General features: G+C 53.5%; 1 protein-coding gene across 8 annotated transcripts, besides 7 other annotated features; it reads left to right on the plus strand.

Annotated features, from left to right (window-relative positions):
- On the plus strand, positions 96 to 23,510 carry FGD2 (FYVE, RhoGEF and PH domain containing 2). 8 transcript variants are annotated; one of them, NM_173558.4, is made up of 16 exons: positions 96 to 326; positions 3,275 to 3,506; positions 5,414 to 5,491; positions 6,147 to 6,295; positions 8,050 to 8,206; positions 8,403 to 8,541; positions 9,087 to 9,145; positions 9,333 to 9,479; positions 10,209 to 10,301; positions 14,982 to 15,061; positions 15,150 to 15,180; positions 15,953 to 16,045; positions 16,680 to 16,811; positions 20,233 to 20,379; positions 21,870 to 22,016; positions 22,389 to 23,510. In NM_173558.4, the coding sequence occupies exons 1-16, from the start codon at positions 259 to 261 to the stop codon at positions 22,602 to 22,604; spliced, it is 1,968 nt and encodes a 655-aa protein (NP_775829.2). In that variant the 5' UTR covers positions 96 to 258; the 3' UTR covers positions 22,605 to 23,510. The 8 variants fall into 8 exon arrangements, 7 of the variants coding, with proteins under 7 accessions (NP_775829.2, XP_047274288.1, XP_011512674.1 ...); XM_047418332.1 differs by lacking the exon at positions 22,389 to 23,510 and adding an exon at positions 20,532 to 20,766 and having other exon boundaries at positions 21,870 to 21,990; XM_047418333.1 differs by lacking the exons at positions 96 to 326; positions 3,275 to 3,506; positions 5,414 to 5,491 and having other exon boundaries at positions 6,198 to 6,295; positions 8,408 to 8,541.
- Positions 112 to 241: an enhancer, noted in NCBI's record as "active region_24448". NCBI's record gives its function as "activates an Ori minimal core promoter by ATAC-STARR-seq in GM12878 lymphoblastoid cells {active_cell/tissue: GM12878}" and the evidence as "EXISTENCE:reporter gene assay evidence [ECO:0000049][PMID:35858748]".
- Positions 2,062 to 2,231: an enhancer, noted in NCBI's record as "active region_24449". NCBI's record gives its function as "activates an Ori minimal core promoter by ATAC-STARR-seq in GM12878 lymphoblastoid cells {active_cell/tissue: GM12878}" and the evidence as "EXISTENCE:reporter gene assay evidence [ECO:0000049][PMID:35858748]".
- Positions 6,312 to 6,811: an enhancer, noted in NCBI's record as "H3K4me1 hESC enhancer chr6:36979647-36980146 (GRCh37/hg19 assembly coordinates)". NCBI's record gives its function as "activates a minimal SCP1, AML or CMV promoter by ChIP-STARR-seq in primed H9 embryonic stem cells {active_cell/tissue: H9 hESC(primed)}" and the evidence as "EXISTENCE:reporter gene assay evidence [ECO:0000049][PMID:30033119]".
- Positions 8,242 to 8,959: an enhancer, noted in NCBI's record as "H3K4me1 hESC enhancer chr6:36981577-36982294 (GRCh37/hg19 assembly coordinates)". NCBI's record gives its function as "activates a minimal SCP1, AML or CMV promoter by ChIP-STARR-seq in naive H9 embryonic stem cells {active_cell/tissue: H9 hESC(naive)}" and the evidence as "EXISTENCE:reporter gene assay evidence [ECO:0000049][PMID:30033119]".
- Positions 18,951 to 20,150: an enhancer, noted in NCBI's record as "MED14-independent group 3 enhancer chr6:36992286-36993485 (GRCh37/hg19 assembly coordinates)". NCBI's record gives its function as "activates an origin of replication core promoter dependent on BRD2, BRD4, P300/CBP and CDK7 cofactors, and independent of MED14, by STARR-seq in HCT116 cells {active_cell/tissue: HCT116}" and the evidence as "EXISTENCE:reporter gene assay evidence [ECO:0000049][PMID:35650434]".
- Positions 18,951 to 20,799: a biological region, named in NCBI's record as "MED14-independent group 3 enhancer GRCh37_chr6:36992286-36993485".
- Positions 19,862 to 20,799: an enhancer, noted in NCBI's record as "H3K4me1 hESC enhancer chr6:36993197-36994134 (GRCh37/hg19 assembly coordinates)". NCBI's record gives its function as "activates a minimal SCP1, AML or CMV promoter by ChIP-STARR-seq in naive H9 embryonic stem cells {active_cell/tissue: H9 hESC(naive)}" and the evidence as "EXISTENCE:reporter gene assay evidence [ECO:0000049][PMID:30033119]".

Below are 23,874 nucleotides of genomic sequence, written 5' to 3' on the forward strand. Positions count from 1 at the left end.
AGGGAGAGGTGGGGCCCGAGCAGGCTCCTCCCACTGCGGGAGTGCTGGCCTTTCCCCTGCAGGGCTGTGGCTCTGGGACCACTTCCTCTTTCTTCACTCTGAAGCCAAGAGCCGACCTTCTGAGCCCTCAAGAAAGATCAGAACAGATTCATGGGTGATTTAGCCTATCTGTCCCAGGCCAGCGTGGCTGAGTGTGCTGGCTGGAGGCCTCTCTCTCTGCTTCGAGGGTAGCTGAGATCCACCCCGGAAACCGGCAGGATGAAGGGGGCAAGTGAGGAGAAGCTGGCATCTGTGTCCAACCTGGTCACTGTGTTTGAGAATAGCAGGTATGGGCAGCTGGGGTGGGAGGGTCACCATGGTGGGCTGGCAGCCACCCTCCAGCCTTTCTGGCAGCTCTCTCCCTGGGCCCTGCCCCGGACCCTCCTCCTGCAGGGGCAGCCCCGCGTTCCTCGGTCACGGATTCCTTGGAGCATGGGAGAGTGTCGGTGGGACACCAGGAGCCAGGCAGGGGTGAGAGTGCCAGTGTGTGTTGGGAGAGTCCAGACAGGTGTGGTTACGAGCAAGCATGGGCAGACCAAAGCCTGTGTGTGGGCACAGGACCCCACCCAGTGCCTGCCAGCACCTCTCAGAAAAGGTAGCTGATACTCACCAAGAATTTACGCCCTATGATTAGGATAACCATATAATTTATCATTCAGCACACAATTGAAACTGAAAGTAAATGCCAAATAAAATGTGGTGGTTGTGGGGGAGGCATTACAGGTAAAGCTGGGACCGTATGAGGCAAACCAGGATGTACGGGCAGCATCCTGATGGGGTACTCCCTACTCTAAGTTCATGTCCTTACTTATTTAATTTAGTCATCGAACAGCCTAATAGGGGTAGATTCTGTTTCTGTTCCCGTCTTATAGATGAGGAAATGGAGACACAGAGAGGTGAGGATGCCAAGTGCTTTAAGTATCTGGGGCAATGCTGGGGCGTCTGTCTGGAGGGAAAAGGCTGGGCCAGATGCGTGGAGTCATTGGTAGCCCTGGGAGCATGTGTGTTTGTGTGTGTGCGCGTGTGTGTATGTGTGTGTTGTGTGTTATGTGTGGCATCAATCCATTCTGCAGGCATTTCTTAAGCTCAGGACTGTGTTAGGGGCTGTCCCAGGTAGGGTTTTCTGGAAATAGACTCAGACAGAGGTTTGCCTCAGGTGATTTATCAGGGAGAGCTTTTGGGAACAACAGCTGTGGGTGTGAGGGAAGCAGGGCCGGGCAGGGGGAGATGCTGAACTGCAGTGCACCTGCCACAGAGGCCTCAGCCTGTCCCAGGGAGCTCTGGAGCTGGGATGCCTCTCGGTTGTTCCAGCTGAGGAAGAGGGCTGGGTATTTGTATCTCCATGTGGACTGGACAAGAGACTCTGGGTGAGGCAGCTCTCTCTTCCAGAGAGTGATTCCCAGAGAGGGACTCAGCCAATAAATTACCCGGCAGCCCCCAGTACTACCAGTAGCTGGTGGGGATGGTGTGGGGAGGCCTCATTCCTGAAGGAGGGACATGGGTGGCACAGCACAGCATCCTACAGGAACTGTAGAGGATGAAGAAGGGTTTCAGTATTTGGATGCTGAGCTCATCGAATAACTATGATGCAAGGTCATAGACAGTAGATGTCCTAGGAATGGCCCGGATGCTGTATTGAGGGCACTCATGGCAGGCAATGTTTCCTGTAGGCTTCAGGGTGGAGATGGCATAGATGTAGACCTAGAAGTCTTCAACTTCCTGAGCTGGGTGATTCTCCCCTGCCTCTCCCGGGATCTTTGCCAAGCTCGTCCTGTTCAGCACCAAAGACAGCTCTTGGGTGCCGCCTTCCTGGCCCACCACCCCCTTGGGTGTGGGTGGATGGTACCACCTCACTCAACATGCTTGACGTGGACTAGGCACACCTGGGTGGAGCCCCTCAGCATGCTGTGCTCTGCCCAGGCAATAACCCTGGCAGGAGTGGGCAGCCCTTAGACGGGAGTTAGGTCCCAGCAGGCATCAAGAGGGTGAGAGCCACTCCTTACTGAGTGAGGGGACCCATACCAACTGCCTTGGCCTGGGCTTCCTTATGAGGTCTCCAGCACCTCAGCTGATCTGAAACTGAGGGGCAAAGAGGAAACAGAAGCTGGCCAGGGGCCCTAGAACAGAAATGCAGAACCTGAAACCAAATGTAGAACAGAAAGCCTGAGAACCAGCTACGCCCATGAGCTGCAGACCCATGGGCTGAGAAACCAGGGACTGGGGTGCCAGGGAGGGGTGGGAGAGCCTGGGAGTAGCCACACAGCACTAGGTCCCAATGCTTTCGCTGCCACAAACCCAATTGTGTCACTTGGGGCAAGTCACTTTGACTCCGCGGACCTGTTTCTCCTTTACTCAAATGGGGAGGGGCAGGTTAGAGTGAAGGCTCAGGAAGCAGTCGCCTGATTTGAATCCCACCTCTGCCACTTCCGAGCCGCATGTTACTCATCCTGTCCAGACCTCAGTTTCCTTGAGTGCAAAATATGGGTAATGAAAACCTTTCTCACGGAGTTTTGGAGATTTCGTATTTGTTTGGCCTTCCATTTCCTGGCCTGTCTTTCTCATAAGGATGCCTGCCCTGTTCTGTCATCACAAGCCCTTCCACACCAAGGGCAACGTTGGGTGTATTCATCAAGGGTGGGCCCTGTTGTCTAAGGAATTTGACTGGCTTGCAGAACCCAGTACACAGGGTAATAAAGGTGACCTACGAAGGCCCGTCCCTGGGAGAACAGAGCATCTGCTGCTGGGCTGGCTCTCCCTGCTTCTGGACGTGTGGAGGATGTCGATCCCATTGAGAAGCCCCAGCTTTTGCAGGCCTGCTCTCACTTTATATTGTTCTGTGGCTCCTACCTTCCCTTGATGTATAGGTTACTGATGTGGAAACTGAAAACAGAGGTGAGGTCCAAAGGTGAGGATAATCCAGGGGGTACCACTCAAAAACCCCTATATACAGAAAGGATTCCTGGACACTGTGGCTTCATTTTAAACAAGGAAGTATGCAGTTCCCCAGAAAATAAAATATAGTCCACCCTGACTCATTTTGAACACTGAGTTCCCTCCAAGAATGTGTTGGGAGAGAAGTGAAAGTCTTACTCAGCATGTTCCCAAAGAAAGCCAGGCACCCAGGGGCCCCTGCACTGGGGATTTGCACCAGGCAACCCAAATCCACACCAGGGACTTGCTGCTGTTTTCCCTGTTCTCCAGGGAGGAAGCCCTCAGGTCTGTCTCTTCTCCTCAGGACCCCAGAAGCAGCACCCAGAGGCCAGAGGCTAGAGGACGTGCATCACCGCCCTGAGTGCAGGCCTCCCGAGTCCCCAGGACCACGGGAGAAGACGAATGTCGGGGAGGCCGTGGGGTCTGAGCCCAGGACAGTCAGCAGGAGGTACCTGAACTCCCTGAAGAACAAGCTGTCCAGCGAAGCCTGGAGGAAATCTTGCCAGCCTGTGACCCTCTCAGGATCGGGGACGCAGGTGCCTGAGGGCTGAGGTAGAGGTGTGGGGTGCTGGGGTGGGGAGCTCTCCCTGACCTCCCCTCCACACATGCTTTCCTAGCCAGAGCCAGCAGTTCCCCAGGTGGGGGTATGGTGTGATCAGAGGTCAGCTGGGAGCTAGATTTCCCCATGCTTAATGGCCTTTGATTCACTAACTGCCTGCTACGCACCGTGCTGGATTACTTCGCGAGTCCCTCGTGTAGGAGTTTTTTGGACAAGGAAGTTGAAACACAGTTTTAAGGAACTTATTCAAGGCCACACAGCTTGGAACAGTCTCCATCTTGTGAACCTAATACTCTTCTCAGGTGGGGCCTCAGTTTACCCACTGGAGGAGACAACAATCTCAACCTAGAAATAGAGGTCTGAGTGTGAACTGTCCTGCCCTTAGACTAAAGCCCAGTCTGATCTCTTCTGTGGCTTGCAGTTTTCTCATCTGCAGAGTTCAAGGGTTGGCATGCAGATACTGTGCACCCAAATTCCCTGGAGTCACATCCCAGCACGTCTGCTTACTAACTGTGTGTCCTTGGGCAAGTCACTTGAGTCTCTTTGTGCCAGTTTCCTCATTTGTAAAATGGGGATAGTGGTTATAGTAATGCGTCCTGGTTTTCAATCGCTGCTGAACAAACCTATCAAAAATGTAGCGGCTGGCCGGGTGCAGTAACTCACGCCTGTAATCCCAGCACTTTGGGAGGCCGAGGTGGGCAGATCACCTGAGGTCAGGAGTTCAAGACCAGCCTGGCCAACATAGGGAAACACTGTCTCAACTAAAAATACAAAAATTAGTTGGGCATGGTGGTGGGCGCCTGTAATCCCAGCTACTCAGTAGGCTGAGACAGGAGAATCACTTGAATCCAGGAGGAGGAGGTTGCAGTGAGCCGAGATTGCGCCACTCCACTCTAGCCTGGGTGACAGAGCGAGACTCTGTCTCAAAAAAAAAAAAAAAAAATGTAGGGGCTGAATGTAACTGTTTATTGTTTCTCACATTTTGTGAGTTGACTGGGATGCTGCCGGGAGGTTTTTCTACTGGCCTCACTCGGGGGTCTGTGTGATTCTGCTTGGGCTGCCGTAACAAAATGCCCCAGACTTCAACACCAGACATTTATTTTCTCACAGTGCTGGAGGCTGGAAGGCCAAGTTCAAGGTGCCAGCAGGTTTGGTTTCTGGGGAGGTCTCTGTTCTTGGCTTGAAGACAGCCACTTTTTCAGTGTGTCCTTACATGGCCATTTCTTTGTCATCCCTGGTGTGTCTTCCTCTTCTGACATTAATCCTACCAGTTTAGTGCCCTACTCTTATCATCGCATTTAACCTCAATTACCTCCTCCAAGGCCTCATCTCCAAATACACTTACATTGGGGGTTAGGGCTTCAACACAGGAATTTGGTTGGCGGACGCAGTTTAGTTCCCAGCGGGATCTCTCAAGTAGCTGCAGTCAGAGGATGGCTGGGGCTGGAATGCCCAAGACAGCTCAGCTCGCAAGTCTGGCATCTGGGCAGGGACAGCCGGAAGACTGGGCTCAGCTGGGATGCTGGCAGGGCTGGGCTCTTTCTCCGTGTATTCTCCAGGCCTCTCCTCTCCACGTGGCCTGTCCATGAGGTCTCCCTATCAGAGCTGCCAGACCCCTTGATGTAGTGATTCACAGCTCCCAAGACAGCACAGGTGGAAGCTTCCAGGCCTCTTAAGGCTAAGGCAGAGAACTGGCACAGCCTTACTCAGCTGCATTCTGTGAAAGCCACCCCAGGGCCGGCCCAGATGCACTGCGGGAGGCCATGAATCCCGGGAGGCATGCTTCACTGCAGCAACTTTGGAGACTGAACCGAGGTCCCCATCAGAGGAGACCAAAGCTGTCTTCCCCCTTTTTCTCCTTCTCTCCCCTCCAATCCTCCGCAGGAGCCAGAGAAGAAGATCGTCCAGGAGCTGCTGGAGACAGAGCAGGCCTATGTGGCGCGCCTCCACCTGCTAGACCAGGCCAGTGACCAGGACACCCCCCTCTAGAGCCCCAGCCCTGGGTCTCCTCACCTCACCCCTTCTCAGCCTTCCCACCCTGCTCACCAGAGCTGAGTCAGGAGCCCTGGCTTTGACTCCAGGAAGCCTTGGCCCTTTAACCTCAATGGCTGGGGTTGGGGTAGAATCAGGAGGTCTTGTTAGCAGTACTCCCCATTCTGCCTGTGGTGCCCAGGCTGGCCCCTGTATAGCAGAGAACACACCAGCTGGCCCTTGCTGGCCTACACGGTATCTTCATCTGTCATCTCAATGCCCACAACCTCACAACGATCTTACCTTTCATAGTTTTTCAGGAGCCCTAAGGCTAGAGGGTTATTCATCACCGCAGGGAGCTCTAGTCTGATGAAGTCCAAGACCTCCACAGTTTGGGCCTGTTTATGGCATTCATCAGCTGCCAGCCTTTGGCCAAGTCCCTGCATCTCTAGGCTTTGCCTTGCTCATCTGTAAAGTGGCCAGAACACAACCTCCCCTGCCTTCTTTTCCCGGGGTTGCTGTGAGGATGCCGGGAGATCAGGGAGGTGGAAGCATGCAGTAGGCTTGGTGGGACCCTAGTTCCCCCGGGCTGATGTGTGGGTGGCTCCCTGTCACTGCAGTGAGTGACCTGTCGTGGCGGCTACAGGTGTTTTTCCAGGAGCTGCTGAAGACAGCCCGCAGCAGCAAGGCCTTCCCAGAGGATGTGGTCAGGGTCATCTTCTCCAACATCTCCTCCATCTATCAGTTCCATTCTCAGTTCTTCCTCCCAGAGCTGCAGCGGCGCCTGGACGACTGGTGAGGTCCACCAGGAGCCCCTGAGGCCTCAGACCACAGCCCTGGCCAGGTGGAGGTGGGGAGACCCCAGGGCGCTAGGTTCAGCCTCCTAGGCCCAGGCCCTTATTGTGTGGCCATGCCTCCCTGGGGCTCGGTCTGTCTGCACAGTGAAGGGCTTGGGTGAATGAGCTCTGAGAGGCTGTGTGTGTGCAGACTGCTTCCTGGGGAAAGGGGTGGATCAGGTCCTGGCCAAGCCAAGTGACCAAGTGACTTTGGGACAGTGAAAATAGCCAGTGCCAACTGAGGGCTTCCTACACGCCTGGCCTTGGGCTTTCCCTCTATTAACTCCCTCAATCTTCACATCAGCCTGCTGTGTGATGACGGCATCATGGTTATGCAAGAAACCCTCTTGTTTTCACAGATGGCCACTAAAGCATTTAACAGTGAAGTTACTTGCCTTATATAGTTTGCCACGAAGTCTAGGATGTCCTTTAAGATCTTTGGCAAAGAAGAATGCTAGTAATTGTTAAACCTAGTGATGTATTGATTGCTTAAAACATTTATAATAAACTGTTGTTTTTTTTTAAGATAATAATAGCCAGGTTCGGTGGCTCATGCCTGTAATCCCAGCACTTTGGGAGGCCAAGGTGGGTGGATCACTTGAGCTTAAGAGTTTGAGACCACTCTGGGCAACATGGTAAAACCCCATCTCTACCAAAAATACAAAACTTAGCCGGGCATGGTAGCAGGCACCTGTAGTCCCAGCTACTCAGGAGGCTGAGGTTGGAGGATTGCTGGAGCCCGGAAAGTCGAGGCTGCAGTGAGCCATGATTGTGCCACTGCACTCCAGCCTGGGTGACAGAGAGAGACCCTGACTTAAAAAAAAAAAAAAAAGAAAGAAAAGAAAAGAGAAGGATATAACCCTATGAGATCGCCTGCCATCATTCCAATTTTTTTCAATGAGAAAATCAGGGTACAAAGATGCTAAGTGACTTACCTGGGAACACAGCTAGCATGATTTGTGCATCCCAGGAGTCAGGCTCAGGAAGCCTCACTCCCAGGCCATGGCCATGGCTCCCTGCTGCTCTGCTCTAGCAGGCCCTGCCATGGGATGATCCTGGAAAAGTTCTGTGTGTGTGTGTGTGTGTGTGTGTATACATATATATACGTGTATATATATGTATATATATTATTTTTTTTCAGTGTGAGGGGCATGGAATGAGGTTTCACCATGCTGCTCAGGCTGGTCTTGAACTCCTGGGCTCAACCTGCCTGCCTGCCTCAGGCCTTGCAGAGTGCTGCGAGTACAGGTGTAAGCCACTGTGGCTGGCCAATCCTGGAGAAGTTCGTACCCCTCTGAGCCTCCACTTCCTCACCTCTATGATGGGCTAGTGGCTGCCCCCACCTACAGGGTTGTGAGAATTACATGGAATGAGACATGCATCATGTCCTGGGTAGTGCTTGGTAGGTAGCCCTCGTTATTGTTACATAATGAAGCACTGAGCAGTTACTGAACACCTGCTGTGGGCCCAACACTGTGCCGGGCCTTGTGGATGAGGCCAACCTGGGACCAGAACAGCCTTTGGCCTCAGGAGGCTCACAGTCTAAGGAGTAGAGGGGCGCATGTGAGGATGACACCCCCGTACCCCGCCCACACCCAGAATTGCCGTGGAAAGTTTGCTTTGGGGGATTCAGGGAGCCTGGCCTCACCTGGCCCTATCTAGAGTCGAGAGGAGGTCTCTAGGCTGAGGGCAATCCCTGTGCCCCTCCTGCAGGACAGCTAACCCCCGCATCGGTGACGTGATCCAGAAGCTGGCCCCCTTCCTGAAGATGTACAGTGAGTATGTCAAGAACTTTGAGCGAGCGGCTGAGCTGCTGGCCACCTGGACCGACAAGTCTCCACTCTTCCAGGAGGTTCTCACTCGCATCCAGGTGAGGCTGGGGGAGGGCTGGAGTCAGCATTGCCACTCCCAGCATGCAGTGGCTCAGGTTGCCTTGAGTGATTCCGGGCATCTCCCAGGCTCAGCTGCTTCCATAGGCCCCTGCCTACTCGTCCGGCCCTCAGGAGCAGCCTGACCCACCTCCCTTCTCTCACCCTCTCCGTGTTGCTCCCCCATCCCTCCCCAAGAGCAGCGAGGCTTCGGGCAGCCTGACCCTGCAGCACCACATGCTGGAACCAGTGCAGAGAATTCCACGTTACGAGCTGCTGCTCAAGGAGTACATCCAGAAGCTGCCAGCCCAGGCCCCAGACCAGGCCGATGCCCAGAGTGAGGACACCCCCAGGGGTCCCAGGGGGCTGAGGAGGCCTAAGCCATTCCCATATACTTACTGAGCTCCTGCTAAAATGGTTTTGACGACCATCAGTCATCAACATCAACCACTGGCACTTCATAGACATCATCCATACCATTAGCCATTTTTCACAGATGAGGACACTAAGGCCCAGAGAGGTTTAGTGACTTGCTCAAGGTCACGCAGCCAGAGAGTAGCAGAACTGGGATTTGAACCCATGCCTATGTGATACCAAAGCCCATGCTCCTTCCATTATACCCTCTAGGTCTGGCTTGTTTTGGGAAGCAGTGAGAGTCACCAAAGCCAAACACCTAATGGCTAACGTTCAGTGGCTTCCAGTCTCTCAGCCCTGGGGGGCTCCCGCCATTCAGACACCCCATGGCTGGGCTGCACAGGCAGGGCTGCTCCTGGGGGCTGTCATGGCAGGTCCTGAGGGCCCTTTGTTGAACTTCAAGGACCTCCTGCCCCAGCCACCAGCCCTAGATTCTCAGGGAATAAACTCCGGCCCTGCCCCTTTCAGAAGCCCTGGACATGATCTTCTCAGCTGCCCAGCACTCCAATGCAGCCATCACTGAGATGGTAAGCAGCCCGCCCTCTCCTGGAGCCCTGTCCCCCTCCCTGCAGGTCTCAGCCTGGTCCCACCCATGACACCTATCCCACTGCTGCCCTCACTGTTACCCCCCAGTCCCCGTCCCCACAAGGCAAGCCTTCCAGAAGCAGGTGAGCCCTGCCCAGACTTGGCTGAGGATGCACCCCAACCCCCTAGGAGCGGCTGCAGGACCTGTGGGAGGTGTACCAGCGCCTGGGCCTCGAGGACGACATAGTAGACCCCTCTAACACCCTGCTCCGTGAGGGCCCGGTCCTCAAGATCTCCTTCCGCCGCAACGACCCCATGGAGCGCTACCTTTTCTTGGTAAGAGGGTGCTGGGAGCTCCTCTCCACACTGGGGAGGGAAGTCCATGGGCCACTCTGGCCCGAGTCATACTGCCTGGCCTCTACCTGGCACTGCAGGGGGACAGGGAAGAGAACGCTTCTCTGTCTTTTTCTGCTTTGGCACCCAGATGACTTTGGACAGGTCACCTGCTGCCTCTAAGCCTCAGAGATTTCCAACCCACAGGTTTCCCAGACATGTCCTAGGAAGCAACAGAGTCAGAGTTTGAACCCAGTCTGACTGCAAAGCCTGTGATATTAATCTGTGCTCTAGAGAGCGCACAGCAGGAAGGAGTAAGGTTAGCTACTAGGAAGAACTGCCCTGGGTTTGCACGGAAGAAGCCGGGGGATCTCCTGACACCTGGAAAGGTGGTCCTGCCTGGAGGTCTGGGGAACAGAGATATAACCTCTTGTAAACCCCTGCCATCCTGAGCCCCTGTTGAGAAAGGCCTTGTAGGTTTCTGAGGTCTGCTATGGTCCCTTGTAGGGTGACCCTTCAGTAACCATCCTAGGGGAATTGGGAGCTTGACAGCCCCTTCCTCATCACCTACATCATCACCTGTGATGTCCTGTGAGCAGGCTGGCCAGAGTGTGTTCAAAGGGGAGCGGGTCCAGTGGTGCTCAGCCCATGCTCGGCCCACCCTCGGGGAAACCCCACCTAGCCATCCTCCCTGCCCCTGCCACGGGCCACTCACGCCTGTGTCTCCTGCAGTTCAACAACATGCTGCTCTACTGTGTGCCCAGGGTGATCCAGGTGGGCGCCCAGTTCCAGGTGAGGACCCGCATCGATGTGGCCGGGATGAAGGTAAGAGGCCCCCTAAACACCACTGGGCTCCACCTCAAGGGTAGGACTGAGTACAGGGAGTAAGAGGAGGGGCCAACCAGGTTCTCAATCACAGAACCAAACCCTTGCAGGGCCTGGGCAAACATGGAGATGGAAGAGTGTGGGGCTCTCCCCTCTGGGATCCTAGCCCTCCTGCCCTGTCCTTCCCAGCTTCCCACAGGTTTGGCCCTCCCTTCGCGGCAGTGCATGAGCCAGCTTGGCCTTTCTGTGCTTTCCCTACTGTTTATACCACTGCTTCAAAAACTTTCATGTGTGCGCGAATCCTCTGGGCATCTTGTAAAAATGCAGGTTCTGAATCAGGAGGTCTGGGTGGGGGGGTGCCTGAGATCCTGCATTTCTAACCAGCTCCCAGTTAAGATGGGCTGACAACTGACCCCACCTGCAGGATTGTGAGAATTAAATGAAATGAGACATATCCTGGGCAGTGTATGCTGATACTGTAGGAGCACAGAACACGTTTTGAGTAGGAAAGGTCTCCAGTGTCAGCTCAGCGGCTGGCTTGTGTGTGTCCCCATCTACCTCATCCAGAGATTATGGCAAATGAGCAGGGCCAGTAGTCCATGATGGAGCCCATGGGGGGACCACAAGATCCTCCTAACAGCCCCATGATGCAGGGGCTGTTAGAATCTTCTGGATTTTTTTTTTTTTTTTTGAGACCGAGTCTCACTCTGTTGCCCAGGCTGGAGTGCAACAGCAAAATCTCGGCTCACTGCAACCTCCACCTCCTGGGTTCGAGCAATTCTCCTGCCTCAGCCTCCCAAGTAGCTGGGACTGTAGGCGCGAGCCCCCATGCCCGGCCAATTTTTGTATTTTTGGTAGGAGAGATGGGGTTTCACCATGTTGCCCAGGCTGGTCTCAAACTCCTGACCTCAAGTGATTCACCTGGCTTGGCCTCCTAAAGTGCTGGGATTACAGGCATGAGCCACCACACCCAGCCTGTTTTTTATCTTTTAAAAATATTTTAATTTTACTACTTAAAAAATACAGATTATACACATTCTAAAGTCAAACAATATAAAAAATATATACAATGAAAGTCTCCGCCCGACTCTATCCCCTAGTTCCCCTTCCTGAAGGCAATCCTTGCTTCTTGTGAGGCCTTCCAGAGGTGGTCTTCGCCTAGCAAACCAATAACATATAATAGGATTGTTTCCTCATTTATGCAAGAAGCAGTGGTATACTCTACACATTTTTCTGCACTTTGCTTTTTTTTTTTTAACTAACTGCAAATGCTGGAGACTGAGGTGTCCCTGTACTTGAGAGCTTCCTCATCCTCCTGCCCAGCTGCATTGCGTCCCACTGTGCAGATGCACCGGAATTTCTTCAACCAGTCTTCTGCTGAGAGACACTTAGATTGTTTTCAGTTGTCAGCAGCTGCAAATGAGGCTGCAGTGAATAGCCTGGTACAGCCTGCCTGTGTGTGAATGTATCTGCAGTTAATCCCATTTTTAAACATGAGAAAACCAAGGCCCTAGAAAACCTTTCTAACTTAAATAACTTGCTTGAAGGTCATATCGCAAATGCTAGTTCGAGTGACCAAGCCAGGATTCAGATGCAGGTGTAACAAAGGCTGGCGCTTCTGCGTCTAACCACCACGCTCTGCTGTCGCCTATTAAGGCTTCAATCCAGAGGGTTCAAGACTATGGTGGAATTTCTGGCATCGTGGAGGACACAGCCAGAGAAGCTTCCTGACCACCCCTCTCTGCTGGCTCCTGAGTCCTGGTGTGTCCTGAGGGCTGGGACTGGAAGAAGCAGAGGTCTGGTCTGGCCCATCTTGTCACTCTCCTATTCAGCATCACCCCTACCCCCTTCAGCCCCAGAAGGGAGCTGCAGGCAGGAGTTGAACCAGAATGCTCTACCCTCTAGAGCCCCTGGGGCCTCCAGAGACCCCAGCAAAAGAGCCCCACCCCTGCTCCTGACTGGGGTTGCCTGGCATCTGGAGCAATCCAGGGCCTGGGGGTGGGGTGCAGCCTGGGAATGATGAAAGCTGATGAGGGAACATGGGTTCACAGCTCACCCCGACACCTGAGCTGACTGAAGTCTTTTAGGAGTGCAGCCCCGGCCCTGGCATCTAGCTTTCCATCCTGAAGGGGCCAGAATGTCACATAGACCAGGGCGTGTGCAGGCTTGTATGTCTGGAGTCCTTGGTGAGTGAGGCTGAGAAAGGCAGGTTTATAGAGAGCTACAGACAGAGAAATGGAGACGGGTGGCCCTGCCAAAGGACTGTCAGAGACCCAGGCATAGAAAAATAGAGATCGACAGATAGGAAGGCTAAGAAATATAGAAACCAAAACAGAGTCATAGAGAGAAAACAGAGAGAGCCGAGCCTGAGAGCATCAGATGCTTTGGGTGTGTGTTGAGAGCTCACCAGCCCTGTGTGTGCCGGGTCTCTGGAGTCTGCTAGTCTCGGCTAACATGTCTGATACTCCAGCAGCCGCACAGCACCCTCTCCTGGACGGCATGGGCTTGGCAAGTGCAGAGCTGTCCACTCACCCTACTTCTGTGCAGGAACCATTTTCTGAGTCTGTGATTTGGAGGCAAATCTTGCCTTTGACCATCATGATGGTTCCTATTGGCCTATGACTCCCTGGCCTCCTCCTTCCTAGGTGTCAGGGAGGCCTAGTTCACAGCAGCTGATTCTCTCCAAGGTCTGACTTGGTCTTAGTATTTTGCCATCCCCCACAGGGCCAGCCTGGGAAGAAGGAAGGGGTGTGGACACACATACCTAGGGGCTCCACGTACAGTTGTGCAGGTTGTACACTGCACAAGGATACCTCATCTAAGAGGATGTCTTCTGCAGCCAACTGCAGATTAGCAGACTATGATATATCATAGATGGTATATTTATAGTGAGAATTGTCCGGCAGATGGCAGTCAAATGTCTTGTTCCAACAATATCTAGGTATTATGCCAGTTTGCCAACAGATGTCAGTAAAGTGTTTTGAGGAAGGCTGTCCTTTTCTAATTACTACAAACGTACTGTATGGACTAGCAGGGGACTGAATTGACCTAGCCCTGGGGAAAGTGGTTGAGGCTCAGCTCAGCACAGTTCTGGAAACTCCTCTTGAAACCTGCTGGGGAGCTGGAAGCCTCTGTATGAACATCCCAGGGGCAGCCTGGACCCTCAGGTCAGGAGCCCCCAGTTCCCTTTTTTCTGTCAAAAGCATGATATTTCTTCCTGCTTCTGGACTGCAAACCTTGGATTTCTCCCTTCTTTTCCCTTTCCCCTCTCCCTGACCCAGTTAGAAACCTCTTCTGTCTCTCCAGTGCACCTGGGCAGGCCAGGACCATTTATGATGTTGCTTCCTAACTGGCCTTTGGGCTACAGGTTTGTCCCATTTGGCCCACATCCAGCCTGTCATCCCTTGCACACAAAGAGGTATTTGGCTCTTTCCCAAATACCTCTTTCCACATGACCGCCTCCTCATTGCCAAGGGCATCGAATCCAAATCACATCAGCCCCTTCTAAGGCAAAGACTGGGGAGTGAGGCTGCAGACTAGGCCTAACCTGAGGAAAGATGTGCTTGTACTCAGTGCTGTCTGGGTTATGGTGAGCTGCCCTGGAAGTGTGCAAAGGCCTGGCCACCACATGGGAGGCAGCAGAGGAGCTCAAGTGTTTGAGGAATTTAATGGCAACAAAGTTGCCCCACACAGAAGCTCTTGTGCTCTCAGCCTGTGTCTTAGGTTCTCTTTGCAAATCTCTCTCCACACCGTCTGAAGGAAGTGTGCTTACAGGACTCTGGGGGTAGGATGGAAATAGATGTTCTTCCATCTCACCCTTGGGGGCTGAAAACCTGGGGTGGAATCCTTCTTTTGCCCCTTAGGTGCTGTGTGACCTCAGGCAGCTCTCTTGCCCTCTCTGAGCATCCATTTCCTCATCTCCTAAATGAGGATGATAGTATCTGCTTCCCAAGATTGCTGTGAAGATTATTTTCTTCTTCTTTTCTTTTCTTTTCTTTTTTTTTTTTTTTGAGACAGAGTCTCCCTCTGTCACCCAGGCTGGAGTGCAATGGCACAATCTCAGCTCACTGCAACCTCCACCTCCTAGGTTCAAGAGATTATTGTGCCTCAGCCTCCCGAGTAGTTGGGATGACAGGCATGCGCCACCATGTCCAGCTAATTTTTGTACTTTTAGAAGAGATGGGTTTCACCATATTGCCCAGGCTGTTCTCAAACTCCTGGCCTCTAGTGATCTACCCGCCTTGACCTCCCAAAATGCTGGGATTACAGGCGTGAGCCACTGCACCCAGCCAAGGTTATTTTCTTTAATGTTTTATTATGAAAATTTTAAAGCCAAGAAAACGGTATAATGAACCTCATATACTCATCCAGTTTTGAAATCTAATTTCCTTTTTTGTTGAATCCATTGTCAAAAATTGTCATCTCCACGTCACACTGGGTCAACTTAGCTGCTGCTAAAATTCCAGGAGCCATAGGTTCCATTTGCTTGGAGCGAGGCCCAGTTGCAGGGGCATTTGCTTGGCTCAACAGGATTAGAGAGGTGGCGAACAAGCTCTGCATCCCTGTCTCTCGAATTTGAATTGTCCCTTGGGCACAATCCACCTCCCTCCCCTCCACAGTGCTGTGCCTGGGACCCGGGCTATGATGAGTCTGAACTGGTTGCCTCCCTCCTCTTGGCAGGTGCGGGAGCTGATGGATGCTGAGTTTCCCCACTCCTTCCTGGTGTCCGGGAAGCAGCGCACCCTGGAGCTGCAAGCCCGGTAAAGGAGCTGGGGTGGCGGCCCAGGGCCAGGCGGGAAAACTGGGAGGGGCTGATCTCCTCAACACCTGTGTTCACTTTCCGAGCAGGTCCCAGGAGGAAATGATTTCCTGGATGCAGGTATGGGAACGCTCCGAGGCTTCTGGGAGTCTTTTTCCTTTCTTTCTTTTTTCTTTTTTTCTTTCTTGGTACTAGACTACCTTGATGAAGCTCCTGGGATTCTCCCTAGCCTATTTGGGCTGAAGGGGAGGGAGTGGTGTATGTATGCATGTGTGTGTGTGTGTGTGTGTGTGCATGTGTGTATGCATGTGTGTGCATCTGTGTGTGCATGTCTGTGTCTGTGTGTTTGTGTGTGTGTTTGTGTGTATGTGTGCATGCATGTGTGTGCGTGTGTACATGTATGTGTGTATGTGTATATGTGTGTTTGTGTGCATGCATGTGTGCATGTGTTTGTGTGTATGTGTGTGTTTGTATGCATGTGTATGTACGTGCTTGTGTGTATGTGTCTTTGTGTGTCTGTGTTTGTGTGTGCGTGCGTGTGTGTGTGTGCATGCTCCCACACCTGCGTGTGCTCAGCTGCTCCCTGCTCTTCCTAAGGAGCTGCTCTGTGGTAGTTTGGAGACCGATCTGGGTTCCTATCTTGCTGCTTCTCATTGCCTAGCTGGGCAGTCCAGGGCCAGTCACTTACCCTCTCTGAGCCTCAGTTTTTACATCTGTAACCTGGGGCTGGTAGTTTCTCCTCCGATAAGGCAGCCCGCGTGTGTGTAGAATCCAGCGCCTGGTACCCAGTGGGCTTTCAGCCCTGTCTGTTGCATGCACGGAAGGATGGACAGAGGAGCAATCCCTCCCTTCCACACCTCAAGCCCCGACCCTCCCCCTCCCTGCACCCCAGGCCTTCCAAGCAGCCATTGACCAAATCGAGAAGCGGAATGAAACCTTCAAGGCTGCGGCCCAGGGGCCTGAGGGAGACATCCAGGAGCAGGAGGTAAATGAAGGCTTTTTCATCCCTTGCTGGAGCCACCAACCCAAATAGAGCTTGTTCCCTCTCTGTTCTGCCTATACCAGCTCAGAGGGAGAGGGAGTGTCATCTGCCAGGAGAGACTGAAGGGACCAGGGGAAGCCTTCCCAGCGCATCCCCCGACTCAGGGCCTGAGCATTCCCCTTTAGCAAAACTTCCTTTGAGAGCCTGTCTGCACAGCTGTCTTGGGGAAGTGTTTCACGTCTCTGCAGCTCCAGCTGCAGGGGGCAGTAGGGTTTTGGGTTTGAAAGTATCTGAGAAATACAAAGTCTCAGGGAAGATGGAAGGTGAGTGAGGTGGGGGCTGGGGAGGATATCTGTGGTTTGAGTTCAGATTTGAGCTGAACTCTGGCTTGCTGAGTGACTGCTGAGTCATTTGACCTCTCTGGGCCTCAGTTTCCTCACTTATACAATAGGAATAATGGTAACTAACGTATCATAAGGTCTCGATCAGGTCAGTCAGCTTGCTGTAGAAGCCCCAGGGAAGCCCAACACAAAGAATCCCTGCTACAGCAGGTGGGCACAGGGCCCCAGGCCCTGGGAGGATGGGCGGAAGAAGGTCACCAAGGGCCCATTCCTGCCCAACTCCCCTTAACCCACAGCTGCAGTCTGAGGAGCTGGGCCTCCGGGCACCGCAGTGGGTCCGGGACAAGATGGTGACCATGTGCATGCGCTGCCAGGAGCCCTTCAACGCTCTGACGCGCCGTCGCCACCACTGCCGGGCCTGCGGCTATGTGAGTACTCCTGCCAGCACTCCTGCCTCCACCTGCGTCACCCAGGCCTCCACCTGCATCACCCAGGCCTCCACCTTTCCTACCTAGGCCTCCGCTTGATCCACCTAGGCCTCCACCTGCCCCACCTCGGCCTCCATCTGTGTCACCTCCACCTGTCCCTCCGAGGCCTCCACCTGTGTCACCCAGGCCTCTATCTTTCCTACCTAGGCTTCCACTTGATCCACCTAGGCTTCCACTTGATCCACCTAGGCCTCCACCTGCCCCACCTTGGCCTCTACCTGTCCCACCTCGGCCTCCACCTGCCCCACCTTGGCTTCCACCAGTGTCACCCAGGCCTCTACCTGTCCCACTTAGGCCTCTACCTGCCCTACCTGGGCCTCTACCCACCCAGCTCAGGTGCTGCTGTCCCCATCTTGGCCAAATCTGCTGGCTTCAACCAATGCAGCCCAGTGGTGTTGGGCACTAGCTCTGAGCCAGGTGTGTGTATTACTACCTCATCTGGCCCTCACAGCACACCTCAGGAGGCTGCTGTTTCCCATTTTTTAGATGGGAAAATGAGACCCATTGAGGTTAAATTACTTGCTGAAGGTACCCCTGAAGCTGATCCTATGAATTTACCTGCATTCTTATCATCATTTTCCACGACCCTGAGACCCAGAGCTAGGAAATGGTCCCCAGTTCTAGTGGAGGGGCATCTAGCCCCGCACCCCCTCAGGCCTTGCCCCACCACCTCACCAGGCCCATGCCCACTATGCACTCACCCACCCCGTCATCCTCTCTTTACCCGCTTCGGCTAACTGTCCTCTCTTCTCTGCAAGCCCTCAGCACCCTGGCACCTGATGGATTCTGTTGTTAACTCTGCCTACTGGTTCAGGCCTCAGTCTCCTTAACTCCGCCATGGGGATCGTGAAACCTACCTCCAGTGTGGCAGTGAGGATTCCACCAAAAAACATTCTTTCCCTTCCCTCTCCTCTTTTTCTTTCCCCCTCCTCCATAACTCAGGCAGGGCATCCAGTGCGGGTGAGCTACCAGCTTCTTGAGGAGGGTACTGTGTCCACTACAGTTTCTCCTCTTATCAATCCAGGCCCAGTTACCAGAGGTAGATCTCGCTTTGCTTTTTAAGCACTCCTGTACTTGAGCTGTTCTCTGTTGACATCACAACCCCCTCTGTTTACTCTGCAAACAGAGAAGCCCTTTGCAACCTCAGTCTTTGATGACCTCCAGAGGACAGGAGGAGTCTAGCTGGACAGGTTGGGGCCAGTCAGGGAGGTGTCCCCAAAATGTGTTCAACTGCAATCAGGACAGAGTCAGTTTCTAGGACCTGGGAACACACCTGCCTTCAGATGTCAGTGATGAGTTACATCCCGAAGCCAGGTAGAAAGGATGTGGGGATTGGCTACTGTTCCTGGTGATTCACTTCTGTAAATAAGAGTTGAATTGATTCACACTTGTGAGTGAAAGTAGTTCTTTAAAAATTACTTAAAATAGTGAAATACAAAGAGGCACAAAGAATAACAACACCTGTGTAGCTGCCTTCCAGCTTAAGATAGAAAATATTCTGACAACTAAATTAAATGTATGATCCTTGCTTGGATTCTTTCTGGGGTAAAATAAAGCTATCAAGGTTGCTCTTGGGACCATTGGGAGAAATTTGATGATGCAACATATCTAGATAATAATATTGTATTGGCTGGGTGCAGTGCCTCACACCTGTAATCCCAGCACTTTGGGAGGCCGAGGTGAGCGGATCACCTGAGGCCAGGAGTTCGAGAACAGCCTGGCCAACATGGTGAAACCCTGTCTCTACTAAAAATACAAAATTAGCCGGGTGTGGTGGTGTACACCTGTAATCCCAGCTACTCGGGAGGCTGAGGAGGGAGAATCGCTTGAACCCAGGAGGTGGAGGTTGCAGTGAGCCCAGATCACCCCACTGTACTCCAGCCCAGGCAACAAAAGCAAAACTCCATCTCAAAAAAATAAAAATAATAATATTGTATCAATAAATTTCCTGAGCGTGACTGTGACACCGTGGATAGGTAGAAGGATGCCCTTGTTCTTAGGAGACCACCAGCTACATATTTAAGGGTGAGGTGTCATGATGACTGTAATTTATCCTCAAATGGTTCAGAAAAAAATAAAATACATACATATAGAGAGAGACAGAGAGCAAATGTGGCACAAATGTTAATAATTAGTGAATCTAGTGGGTGGTATCATTGTATTATTTGTTCAATTTGTCTGTCGGTAGGAAATTTTTCAAAATTAAACGTTGGTAGAGGAAAAAATATTTACTAATTATATTTAAACATTGAAATCGCTCAATAAAAAAAAAATGCTCCTGAGGTAGCTGAAGCCCCCGTGTGGGGCTGTGCCCTGACCGTGGGTTTCTCTTGCCTGTGCAGATCTTCGTGCCTGCTGAGCCAGTGAGTCATCCTTTCGGTGGTTCGGGTGCCAGTTTCTGTCTCCCCTGCCTGCCAGACGGGAATCCTTGTGAGGGTGGGGCAGGGCCAGGCCTTCTTCTCCAGGTCCCTGCCAGGCCACACTCTGTGCTGGGCACACAGAGGAGCTCCCTGAAGGCTGGTGCCGCCTGATGAACTACACTCCCTCTGCCCCTTTCTCCTGCCCTCCATCTCCACGCCCACATCTGGGCTCCCCATAAAGCCAAGTCTTCCTCGCAGTCACACCTTGCGGCACCCAGTGTTCCTCTCTGAGTCTTCCCAGGCCCCTTTTACCCAGCCTCCCGGCATGATCCATGTCAGCCTTTGGGGGGTGTCTTCGTGGTGAGCTGAGAGTGGGCCCCGCTCCACAGAGTACCCATGTAAAAACAACCAGCCTATCATTTTTAGGTGAAAACACACTTGACTCCATGATGGCGCAGAATACAAAGTCTGCCTGAATCTTAAAGCTAAACTGTGGGACTTGAAAGACACACCCTGTGTGTGGAGGGCCTGTCTGCCAGGTAACAGTGTGGCTCTCAGGGTCAGGAGAGGACAAAAGCTGGGCCCTGCTTGCCTGGTGGGGTCTTTGGGAGAGTCAGGTGAGATGGCGGAGAGGACAGCATTTGGAAAAGTGAATCAGATGCCAGTGGCCCGTCTGGGGCAAGCCCCTTGGGTTCACAGCAGCCCTCACTCGGAGGGAACCTGGAGGGGAGAGAAGTTACGGCCCTCGCGGTGGGGGCCGGGTCTTGAACCCTCAGCCTAAGAGCCCCGAGCCCGAGCTCCCCCATGTGTCGCAGCCTCCAGGCAGTTGGGCCTCACCAGCATGGGGGAGCATCCCCGCTCTGCCTCTATTCCTCCCTCGAAGCTTTCTTTTCCTCCCCCAGTCCCTGGTTGCTCTCATGCCCCCACCTGCCCACCAAGGCAGGAGCCCAGCCCTCCGGTGCCTGGTCTCAGCCCCATGCCCCCTTATGTGTCCTCCTCAGGTGGTGTGTGCCAGGTGCTCCGACTACCGGGCCGAACTGAAATACGACGACAACAGGCCCAACCGAGTCTGCCTCCACTGCTACGCATTCCTCACTGGAAATGTGCTGCCTGAGGCCAAGGAGGACAAGAGGCGGGGCATCCTGGAGGTGAGGGCCACTGTCCCCGCGCTCACCATCCGTCCTCTGTTCAGGGAATGTGTGCCCGGCAACCATGCTGGGCTGACACTGTCCAGTGCTGAGGAACAAGCCAGCCATGGTCACACCCTCCCCCCTCTCCCTCTTCCTCTCTCTGCCCACAGACCCCAGGCCTCTCGCCACAGCCCAGGCAGTGTGGAGCCTGTCACCAAATGGAGGCACCCTTTGGCTGCAGGCTGTCGTCCACATTCTTCTGCACTTCCTCTATGTCCCCATCCGATAGTACGGCCCCTCTGGACAGCTCATGTTCACGTCCCCATGTCCTGCCCCGACAGTCCCAGGGTGCCAAGAGCTGGTGTCACCGCTTCCATTTTACAGATGGGAACACTGACGCTCCAGGTCAGACAGATTGGAGACTCCATTCTAACTGGAAGGGACTCCAGGGGCCAGTCGGTCTTATCCCATGGAGACCCAGGGCTGGAGGAGTGACTTGCCCAAGATCACACAGCAAGTTAGGAGCCAGCTCTCTGATCTCAGTCACAGATGTTCTTTCTGTTGCCCTGGGGGCCTCACTGAGCCACACTTGCCCCCACAGGTGCTCCCCTGTGGGGGTACAACTGTGCTCAGCTAGGCAGCACAAATACAATGTCAACCAGCTCAGCATCAATACCACTGTCCACTGCCCCTCCCTCACGAAGGCCAGGTTGACATCCCACCGTCCCTGGGAGGTGGGAGAAGGTCCCAGCCTGTGCCAGCTGAGATTCACTCCCAGGTTCAAGTTGGCCTCTTTTGGCCAGGCGGGAAGGCTCATGCCTGTAATCCCAGCACTTTGGGAGGCCAAGGTGGATGGATCACGTGCGGTCAGGAGTTCGAGACCAGCCTGGCCCACATGGTGAAGTCCCGTCTCTACTAAAAATACAAAAAAAAAAAAATCAGCCGGGCATGGTGGTGCATGCCTGTAATCCCAGCTACTCGGGATGCTGAGGCAGGAGAATCTCTTGAACCCGGGAGGTGGAGGTTGCAATGTGTTGAGATTGCACCATTGCACTCCAGCCTGAGCAACAAGAGAGAAACTATCTGAAAAAAAAAAAAAAGTTGGCCTTTTTCCACGGGCATCCACCCCGTTTCCAATCCTCCCCATCCTTCCAGGCCCAGGACCCCCTGACCACTAGGCAACACAGCCTGCCCCTGGAGATGCTCAGCCCCTTCTCAGGGCCCAATTCTGTTTCCTGGAGCAGCTCCAGGCACCCTCCCGGCACCTGCCCCTTGTGGGCACACACGCGACAGGTTCAGGCAGGCTGGGGTTTGACTGCAGCTCTGCCACTGGCCAGCTAGCTGTGTGACCACAGGCACTTGATGGGACCTCTCTGAGCCTCAAGGACCAAGGACCCCTCCATTCAGTACTGCTGTAAGGATTGGAGATAGTGATTGTCAAGCCCCCAGACCAACATCTGGCACTTGCGGCTGCTCTGCTCCCTGACAGTCCCTCCTTCTGGTTTTAGAAAGGGTCCTCAGCCACGCCTGACCAGAGCCTGATGTGCAGCTTCCTGCAGCTCATCGGGGACAAGTGGGGCAAGAGCGGCCCCCGGGGCTGGTGTGTGATCCCTCGGGATGACCCCCTCGTGCTCTATGTCTATGCTGCCCCTCAGGTAAGGCCACCACCTGCCCGCCCCCCGTCAGGCCCTGGCCTTCCCACAGCGTGTGTGTGAAGGGGGTCAGGGGTGAGTATTGCTAGCTCCATATGTCAGATAGGGAAACTGAGGCCCAATGAGGATATGGTATCCTGGAGTCTCAAGGTTGGTAGGTTTCAGAATTGTGCCCTGACTCTAGGTCACCACTGCTTTGCCCTCAGAGGCAGCCAGTTCTTCTGTCCTCTTCCTCGATGGCCTTCACCAGCCCACCCCCAACCCATGGGGGTTTAGGGTGTGAGCTGTGCGTGCGTGGCTGTTGCCTTCACGATGGCTATCTGGGGCAGTAGGACTGAGAGGGGACAGTGGCCCACTGCTCTCTCCTCCCCCCAGGACATGAGGGCTCACACCTCCATCCCCCTGCTGGGCTACCAGGTGACTGTTGGGCCCCAGGGGGACCCTCGGGTCTTCCAGCTACAGCAGTCAGGCCAGCTCTACACCTTCAAGGCCGAGACGGAGGAGCTGAAGGGCCGCTGGGTGAAGGCCATGGAGCGGGCGGCCAGTGGCTGGAGCCCCAGCTGGCCCAACGATGGGGACCTGTCCGACTGAGCCACTGCCAGCCGCTCTCCTGCCCACCTCTCCCCACCCTGAACCCAGCTCCTGCCACAGACTGACCCTGTGGCCTCAGTGACCCACTGCCCCAAGTGGTGCTTTCAGAGAATTGATTCAGCCATCTGCGCCCAGGCCACGTGTCCCGATCTGGGATTAGAAAATATGGGTCCATTCCTTTCTAGAAAGGGGACAACCAAGTGTCTCAGTTTGCCTTGCGGGGAGGGGGCTCCTGGGCCATGGGACTTCCAGTGCTAAAACTGGGAAAGCCCCAGGTAACCCCGGACTGGTGGTCACCATAGTATGGTTTTTCATTTGTATCTCCTGGGGAGCTTTTAAAGAGTACTGGTGAAAAACACATAGTAAATTAATTTTAAAAATGTAAAAAACAATGCCTGTACTGAAGTACCACCACCGATTTAAATGGGCTGAGTTGGGGGAGGCATGGGGTCTTTTTTTTTTTTTTTTTGAGACAGAGTCTTACTCTGTTTCCCAGGCTGGAGTGCACAAACATGGCTCACTACAGCCTCGCTCTCCCGGGCTCCAGTGATCCTCCCGCCTCAGCCTCCCAAGTAGCTGGGATTATAGGTGTGTGCCACTGTGCCAAGCTAATTTTTTTATTTTTTGTAGAGATGGGATTTCACCATGTTACTCAGGCTGGTCTCAAACTCCCAGCCTCAAGCGATGCTCCCACCTCCACCTCCCAAAGTGCTGGGATTACAGGCGTGAGCCACCATACCTGGCGCATGCATATTTTTTAAGAGTACCCACTGGAGTCTAATATATAGCCTGGGTTACCTGGGATGAAGAATAAAGAGAGCAAACTACCACAACCAATGGTTGAGCCCCTGTCAAGTGCCAGTCATGATAGTAGTAATAATAATAATAAACATCTATTGGACCAGGCTCTGTGCAAGGTGTTTTATGTGGATTATGTCATTTTACCATCCAGAGTTATCCCCATTTCCAGATGAAGACACCGACTCAGAGAGGTTTAGTAATTGGCTCAATTGGTCATGTAGCTCGTAGATGCCAGAGCCAGGTTTTAACCCGGTGAACTAAGGTCAAAGCTCTTTCTATCATGGAGCAGAACAATAAGACAAGCAGAGAGGGGAGGAGAGTGAGGAGAAGCAAAAGAGAGGGAAAGAGAGTGAAGAAGCTGGGAAGACAAGAGAGAAAGGTGAATGGTGGGAGGAAGGGTGACGGGAGGAGCATCCCTGTCCCCTCATCCCCACCTCGCTGGTGGGTGAGGATGCTTTTTCATAAGAGA

The sequence above is a fragment of the Homo sapiens genome, chromosome 6 (genome assembly GCF_000001405.40).
Source record: "Homo sapiens chromosome 6, GRCh38.p14 Primary Assembly".
Classification (NCBI taxonomy): Eukaryota; Metazoa; Chordata; class Mammalia; order Primates; family Hominidae; genus Homo; species Homo sapiens.